At 46.3% G+C, this 8897-nt stretch overlaps 2 annotated features.

The window, feature by feature from the left end:
- Positions 3746-4246: an enhancer, noted in NCBI's record as "H3K4me1 hESC enhancer chr6:164032879-164033379 (GRCh37/hg19 assembly coordinates)". NCBI's record gives its function as "activates a minimal SCP1, AML or CMV promoter by ChIP-STARR-seq in naive H9 embryonic stem cells {active_cell/tissue: H9 hESC(naive)}" and the evidence as "EXISTENCE:reporter gene assay evidence [ECO:0000049][PMID:30033119]".
- Positions 4247-4747: an enhancer, noted in NCBI's record as "H3K4me1 hESC enhancer chr6:164032378-164032878 (GRCh37/hg19 assembly coordinates)". NCBI's record gives its function as "activates a minimal SCP1, AML or CMV promoter by ChIP-STARR-seq in primed H9 embryonic stem cells {active_cell/tissue: H9 hESC(primed)}" and the evidence as "EXISTENCE:reporter gene assay evidence [ECO:0000049][PMID:30033119]".

Here is an 8897-nt window from a genome sequence, read left to right as displayed (position 1 = left end):
TCAGAGACGGGGCCCACCCTAATATCCTGCACCTGCAACAGGGAAAATGATGATGTCTTTCAACCCAGCCAATCTTAGGCTGATCACAGCCTAAGCCCAAGCCCTAAAAGAAGCTCAAAATGAAAAAAATTAGCCCAACACAAATTGTTTTATCTAGCTCTTTTCAAACAGGTGGTATGATTTGCCTTTTGAAGTAACATCATAGATGTTTTTGCCCAAAACAATTCTCAGCTTTGGTGTCCTGAAGCCAAAACATGTGTATCCCAATTACGGTAAAACAAAGTCGGTAAATAGAGACTGAAAGGCCCTCTGTAGAACACACACTGTCTGCTTCAGGGATTCGCTCACTCCTGTGAATCAAATGGAAAAATATTAAAACTGCCATTGTTCAACAACATCATCATCCTAGGGCTAGCTTTCTCCAGCAAGAAAGCAGCTATTAAGTAAGTTAAACTATGCAAATTACCAGTTTAATTTATTTCTCATTGAACTGATCAATTTTTTTTTTCATGGAACTGTAAGACATGGTAAGTTTGACAGGGTAGATTATTGTTCAGTAAACATTCTCTTCCTCCTTCCACTGAGGGAGCATATACTTCTTTGGTCCTTTGAAAAAGGCTCTGCCATGAGCATAGCTTGGCGTAGTGAATTTAGTGAGCATGAGGCAGCAGGCGCCTGGCATGTGATCCACTCATCCACCGTGAGAAGAGCAAGACCCCAGGTGGCTGCTGCCTTCAGCTGCTCAGCCCCACCCAGCCTATGTCAGCCAGCCTGGGTAACCTGCAGTCCAGACAGTGTGAGAATGAAGCAATTGAGTTTGGGGAGGCTTATTGTGTCTCTTTATTACATCTGGGTGTGTCTTAGTCTGTCTTGTGTTCCTATAAAAGAATACCTGAGGCTGGGAAATTTATAAAGAAAAAAGATTTATTTGGCTCACAATTCTGATGGTTGAAAAATTCAAAACTGAGCATTTGCATCTGGTGAGGGCCTCAGGCTGCTTCTACTCATGGCTGAAGGCAGAAGGGAGCCAGTATGTGCAGAGATCACACGGTGAGAGAGAAAGCCAGAGAGAGAGGGGAGAGGGACCAGGCTCTCTTTAATTAGCAGGTCCCAAGGAAACTAAGAGTGAGAACTCAGCCACAGTGGGGGCATTATTCTTATTCATGAGGGATCTACCCCCATGACTCAGTCACCTCCCATTAGGCCCCACCTCCAACACTGGGGACCAAATTTCAACACGAGGTTTGGAGGGACAAATATCCAAACCATAGCAGGGTATCATAGGCATACTCACCTATGTGCCTCTTTTGCAGATTAAAATAGTTGCCTGGCTAAAAGAATGCCTTTGCTTCCAAGGTGGGCTACACAGAGCAACTGGGCTCTATCGCTGGGGTAATTTTAGAGTTGTATTCCTTTAGAGATAATGGAGAGATTGTCCTCTGGTTGGAGACCAGATTCAGAGTCTGAAAACAAAGTTTAATGATAAACAAGAAACGTCTGTAAGCACCTAGTGCAGATGTGTAGCGGATGAAGGGCACTCTGGGGACTCCAACAAGTTCTAAAACACTTAAATTGTAAAGGACCCATTCCATGTACTCGCTTGTAAATTTTAAGTTCTCCTCCAGGTGGTTTAAGGCTGATGTTGAGATTAAATCTATCATTCAAGATTTTTTAAATTAAAACATAAGACACTTAGAATGAAAATACATGTATGAAATAGACCAATATTTAAATTCATTAGCAATGGCTAGTTATTGTGCTCTGAAAACTTATTTTGTATGAGAATAGGAAGTTGAAAATAATTGCTTTTAGGTAAAGCAGAATAGAAATAACATTTGGTGCCTTTCATTTCTCTCAGCAAAGGGTACTATCTGAGCCCTCTTGCCAAAACGAGCAGTCATGCCCATGAAACAAGTGTGTCAGAGGATTCAAGTTTATTACTGGGCAATCAAGTACACCTGCAAGCCCATTAACTATCACTGCTATTACTTGGTGCCCTGCGGGCTCCACGTGAGGAGAAAGCTTGTTACGATTATGAGAACACTCAGGGATTATGGGAACTCCAAAGGTTTATGAAAAACACGCAGGGATTATGGGAACACTGAGGGATTATGTGAACTCTAAGGGGTTATGAAAACACTCAGGGATTATGGGAACACTGAGGGATTATGGGAACACTGAGGGATTATGGGAACTCTAAGGAGTTATGAAAACACTCAGGGATTATGGGAACACAGAGATGATGGGAACACTAAGCGATTATGAAAACACTCAAGGATTATGGGAACACTGAGGGATTATGGGAACTCTAAGGAGTTATGGGCACACTGAGGGATTATGGGAACACTGAGAGATTATGGGAACTCTAAGGTAGTTCTCAAAGACCATGACCAAGGCTGGCTTTTAGAGGCCTCTTTAAACCCCACATGTCTGGGGGCTCTAAGATGATGCTTCAGGGAACAGCCACTTTTGCTGACCTCATGTGGTATTTATGTCCCATGGAGCATGTGGTCCCAGGCACACGCTTCAGAGGCAGACCCACTGGGATTGGAGTACTGGCAAGTTGCTTAAACCCTCTCTGTCTGAGCTATCTCAGCTGTAAAATGGAGATAATAAGCACTGCTAGTTTATAGGCTTGTTATAAGGATTAAATTAATTAACGTAGATCAGTGGTTCTCAAAGTGTCATCCCTGAGTCAGCAACACCAGCATGACCTGGGAACTGGTTAAAAAGGCAAATCCTCAGGCCCTGCCCTGGACCTGCTGAATCGGAATCTCTGGGACTGGGCCGAGGCAGCCTGTGTTGTAATCAGCCCTCCAGGTGACTTTGATGCAGCCACACTTTGGGACACTGATGCAAATGAAGCGCTGGCTCGACATGTGCTATGCGCTCAGCTCTTCATGGAGGGGCAACATCTGTCATCCGTCTTGACAGTGTTTATCACGTTTGTTATTATTAAATAGGATTCTCTGTGTTATTATTGCGGTTATGATGTGTATTATCACACAGCAGCAACCTGGGCTGCCCTGAGTGAGGCATGAAGTGGGATTCAGCTCCTGTGTTCACCTGCTCCTGGTGGATTTGGCAGAGCAGCTGCTCACCACAGATTGCCTTCGGACACGACCTGAGGCGTGTGCATCTCCCAGCTGCAAAGTTAACATAGTTTTATGTCACCACTTGTACACACTGCTTTCTGAGTAAAGACAAAAATGCACTTTCCTGTTAATTTATCTGAATGCAGGCATCTCACCCCTTTTCTCTTGGTCTTCCCCTGTCCCTTCCCCACTTTAGGAAGATTTTATGGATATGACATCTGTAAAGTCCTCATTTCCAAAGCAAGCAAGACTTTTGCACAAGACATTCTCCTTGTACCCCCAAACAGACAGCCATAGAAGGGGGCTGGCAGGTGGTCTGTCCTCAGCTGCAGGTGGGACGTCAGATTCATTAGCTCCCAGTGTCTCCACCTGCTCCTTCCATTAATCTATACACTAAAGAAAAGCAGCTTTCATTCTGTCTTCTTTAAAAAAATTTTTGTGGAAGTGCCTCTTTCCTCTCCCCTCCGGTCATCCCTTCCTCACAGAGTCCCTGGAAAGGCCCTTGAAGCTGGCTGGGTGTCCCAGCAGAGGAGAGGCGCTAGGGTGGGCCCTCTGCAAAGTCCACGTCCCATGCTGCCTGGAATGAGCCTGCCCATCACCGACGCTGGAGCAGAACAGATAACAAGCAGCAACATCACAGGCAGGGGAAACGAGGTTTTGCTGAGAAGTTTGTTTATGTGCTTTCATTCTTGCATGACATTCTGTTTATTAAAGATTTCCAAAGCACGATGTATGAAACCAGCAAGAGAAGCCGCTGTCCTGCTTGGCTACCTTCTCCCAGGGGAGCACCCTTTAGGGCAGAAGTGGCAGCTGTGCAGCTTCAATGTAGAGTCCTCCTGTACCTGTGGCCCACCCACACCTGAGGCCCACCTGCATCCATAGTCCACCTGCACCCATAGTCTCCCCACACCTGAGTCCCACCTGCACCCATAGTCCACCCATACCTGAGGCCCACCTGCATCCATAGTCCACCTGCACCCATAGTCCACCTGCACCCATAGTCTCCCCACACCTGAGGCCCACCTGCACCCATAGTCCACCCACACCTGAGGCCCGCCTGCACCCATAGTCCTCCTGCACCCATAGTCCACCTGCACCCATAGTCTCCCCACACCTGAGGCCCACCTGCACCCATAGTCCACCTGCACCCATAGTCTCCCCACACCTGAGGCCCACCTGCACCCATAGTCCACCTGCACCCATAGTCTCCCCACACCTGACGTCCACCTGCACCCATAGTCCACCCACACCTGAGGCCCACCTGCATCCATAGTCCACCTGCACCCATAGTCCACCTGCACCCGTAGTCTCCCCACACCTGAGGCCCACCTGCATCCATAGTCCACCTGCACCCGTAATCTCCCCACACCTGAGGTCCACCTGCACCCATAGTCTACCTACACCTGAGGTCCACCTGCACCCATAGTCTACCCATACCTGGGTCCACTTGCCTCATGGGCTGCCTGGTCTTCCCGGAACTCTAGGTGTGCAGATGTGCAGATCCAGGCAGAGGAAGTGAGGGCTACCCATGCTTCCTAGAAACTGATTTAATTGTCAGTAAATTTCATCTCCACTAAATGCCTACACAGTTTCTCAACCTGAAGCTACAGGCTATAAATAAAAGTATGTTTTTTTGGCCTGGCACAGTGGCTCACACCTGTAATCCCAGCACTTTGGGAGTCCAAGGTGGGCAGATCACAAGGTCAGGAGTTCGAGACCAGCCTGGCCAATATGGTGAAACCCCATCTTTATTAAAAACAGAAAAAAATTAGCTGAGTGTGGTGGTGCACGCCTGTAATCCCGTCTACTCAGGAGGCTGAGGCAGGAGAATTGCTTGAACCTGGGAGGCAGAGGTTGCAGTGAGCCGAGATTGCACCAGCACTCCAGCCTGGGCAGCAGAGCGAGACTCCATCTCAAAATATATATATATTTTAAATATACATATTTAAATATATATACATATATATTTTGTATATATGTATATATATGCATATATATGTATACATATATGTATATGTACATATAATGTACATATAAATTTTGCTTTTGTTATAAGTAGAAATAACAGGAAACAATTATAAAGATTTAAGCCCAGCTACTTTCTATCCTTGAGACTGTTGAAAGCATCAGTGGGCCCCAGGCAGGGCAGAGTTCCCAGGACACCTAAAATGGGCTGGGGGCGGGAGAAAGTTTGAGAAGGCCACTCCTCCCTTCTGTCTGCATTGCAGAGGCACGCGTTGGTGTATCTGGGGGTATTGTTCTCTTTGGAGTACGAGCTCCTCTTCTGGTGCCTCTAACTAATAATGTTCCTGGTGGCCAGGCCTTCAGAGGGAGGAAAGGCTATGTCCCTGGGGAGAAAAGCAGAGGCCTTCACAATGATGGTTCAAATGGAGATTGTAAGAATCAGACAAAAGTGTTCATATGAAAACACTTCTGTGGGAAATATGCAGTATTTTCATATTGATAAGCAAACGGCAACTAAGAGAGCTCTGGTGGTTGTTTTTATAGAGTCATACTGCAGGGAGGACCCGGCCTGAGTACCTTTGCTGACCGCCTTCCACTTAACAGCCGTCGTTGCTGGCGTTAGTAAAGAACCGACTGAGTGGAAGCGAAAAGTGCTGGGCTAGGCACCAACTAAGCCCAGTTCCTTTGACTGAGTCCTGAACTTAAGATGGTGGGATTTACCCACTTTTCTTCAATCGGGTATACTTTCTAAAAAAAGTTGCAGCGCCGGTCGGGTACGGTGGCTCAGCCTGTAATCCCAGCACTTTGGGAGTCCGAGGCGGGTGGATCACGAGGTCAGGAGATCAAGACCATCCTGGCTAACACTGTGAAACCTCATCTCTACTAAAAATACAAAAAAAAAAAATTAGCCAGGCGTGGTGGCGGGCGCCTGTAGTCCCAGCTACTCGGGAGACTGAGGCAGGAGAATAACGTGAACCCGGGAGGCGGAGCTTGCAGTGAGCCAAGATCACGCCATTGTACTCCAGCCTGGGTGACAGAGCAAGACTCTGTCTCAAAAAAAAAAAAAAAAAAAAAAAAGTTGCAGCCCACACACTGTATGAATGATCAAGAGATCACTAAAGGGACTTACCTAATGTTAATATCAAGTGGGAAAAATACATATCTCCATCCTGCCTTACTCTGGAGGCGTTTATATGAGTAACGAAATATGAAAGGGAAAGAAGATGGAATCAGAGAGAAATAAAGATAATTAAGCTTGTTAAAATAAGAGCCTTTGAAGAAATAAATAGTGCTAGCACTAGGTGTAAATTGACATCTTTCTCAGATTCAGATATTCGCTAGAATGGTAATTCCACTATTGATCATATTTAATTATTAAAATCTTTTTCCCAAATGAAATGCAAACTAGTTTTCTAGATGACAGACTGTTATTAACTAATGCTGCTAAATAATTTTAGTGACTATCATGCATGAAAATGGAAAAACTATTTGGCTTTTTATGTTAAAACAAGTGAGACAAAAATGCTGACAAAAGCTGATTGAAATCAACATGTTAAAATATAAGATGTAGTTTCATAGTGATGTTATCCTGTGACTGAAGCTTCAAAGGGGAAAGTTCTGGATGGGAACAAGCAAACTAACGCAGGTGAAAGGCAGCGAGCATGGCTGGAGGCCGGGCTTCCTTAGAGATGGTCGGCTGAGCAGGCTTGGTCCCCAGCCTCCCCTTCCTGAAATAGCTCCCTGTCCTCAGCCTCCACTTGAAGAATGTCATGAGCAATAAGGATGAAAATGTGTCCTCTCCCGGAGAATGTGCCTTTTAATGAAAGACAGAACTTGACTCCACAGGAAGGGATCATAGAACAAAAACCTTTCAGAAACCAGAAAACCAAGGTGCTGAAGTGGAAGTGGGGGTTGAGGTGCCGGAGCCAGAGAAGCCTTCGGGTGAACTATCCAGAATGTCTTCTTCCCTGAGGCTCACCTCGCAATCCTGCTGCCTTCTCTAAATTGGAGAAGGGGAAATGTCGTTCTCATCTACAGGGCCAACTCGCGCACACGCACAAAAATGTGCCTGTGCAGACACTGATGCAATTTAACAGTAAAATGACTATGACATCAACCAACAGGAGGCCTGAGACCTGGATTTAAAAAGAAAACAAAGTGTGCTTTTATCATTCTGTGATATACCCCCCAAAATGCATTTTGTAGCTTAACAGGATATACTTTGGTCTGGGACAGTCCCAGAGCCACCATAGTGGCTATCTAAAACTTTAATGTATGACCTTAAATATTCAAGGAAATCCCTACAAATCATTTTCATCAAATCTGTACATGAATGATTCCCACCAGACCCACTAGTCACGCGACCTTGCACTAAGAGGCCTGTTTCTCAGTATTTTACTCAATTAACTTCCTAAGCTGAAATTCGGCTTCACAGCAACAGCATTAATGAAATGAGAGCTCGTGCCCTGGTTCAATTGGCCACTTCCTGCCTAGACGTCGTGGTTTTGCGTCAACACTTTTCAGAAGCGGATGACTCTTCAAATACTAACGCGAGACCCCCATTAATGTTATTGCTTGGAGTAATGCTGCAGGGACTGCCGGGGCCCAGGTCACTCTCTCAGCAGAACAAGTCCCTGCAAAAGAAAATGAGCGAGGCCAGCACACGGGGAAATGAGCGAGGAGTGGTATGCTGGCTCCTGCTGAAAAGGGATACGAAGCTACAAAGCTGTAATTCTCAGAGTGACGCAGAGGCTGGGGTGTCGAAGCTCACTAGAGGTCACGCCTGTGTGCTCACCCGCCCAGCCCTCTCCCAGTCTATTGCATAAAATCAGTAGCACCCCTTCGACATCACACAGCTCCACCGAAACATAGCTCCTGCATGAGGTGCCACACCAGGATGATGTCCACAGGGACAGAGATGTAGCCACACTCGGGGGTCCCGGGTGGCTAGCAGCACCTCCAGGTGAACACCTCACTCCCGTGTGCTGAGTGCATTTTCCCGGCTGCTGCTCTCTCTACCGGCAGCAGTACAGGCCGCCCGCCCATCCCTGAACCAGTGGATGGGACAATGCACTGACATTTGTAAGTAGCCTCTGCTCCACCCTTGATTAGAAACTATCTTTAATTAAAACACCACATCAGAATTCTGAGCCAATTTCATCCCGGCTCTCCTAAGTGCTTTGTACAAAACATTAACTCTGGAATCTCATTATACATTTGCAACCCCTGTGACAAACATAAATGATGATTTAGCTCTAATGCCTTCTTGAGCAAGCCATTTTTTTTTTTTTTTTTTTTGAGACAGAGTCTTGCTCTGTCTCCCAGACTGGAGTGCAGTGGCATAATCTTGGCTCGCTGCAACCTTTGCCGCCAGGGTTCAAGCGATTCTCCTGCCTCAGCCTCCCGAATTGCTGGGATTACAGGAACCTGCCACCGTGCCTGGCTAATTTTTTTGTAGTTTTTAGTAGAGACGGGGTTTTATCATCTTGGCCAGGCTGGTCTTGAACTCCTGACCTCATGATCCACCTGCCTCAGCCTCCCAAAGTGCTGGGATTACAGGCTTGAGCCACTGTGCCCTGCCAAGCAAGCCATATTTTTAAAGGCTTGTGGATAATAGTAACTTACTGAGGAAAATGTATAAGTGCTGGATTTAGCATCTCTTTACCTTTTACACCAAGAGTTGGAGCTAGTGTTGCAATGGGCTGAACAGATCGTCACAGAGCACCCATCTGACAGCTCTCGGAAGATGCTCACCTGGAAGCTAGCAACTCGCATTCAGTGCGGTTCCCTGCAAGTCAAAGACCTTGGGTACCAACAAGAGTGGGCTGGGCCATTCTC

The sequence above is a fragment of the Homo sapiens genome, chromosome 6 (genome assembly GCF_000001405.40).
Source record: "Homo sapiens chromosome 6, GRCh38.p14 Primary Assembly".
Classification (NCBI taxonomy): domain Eukaryota; kingdom Metazoa; phylum Chordata; class Mammalia; order Primates; family Hominidae; genus Homo; species Homo sapiens.
This window is presented reverse-complemented; position numbering and strand designations above follow the sequence as displayed.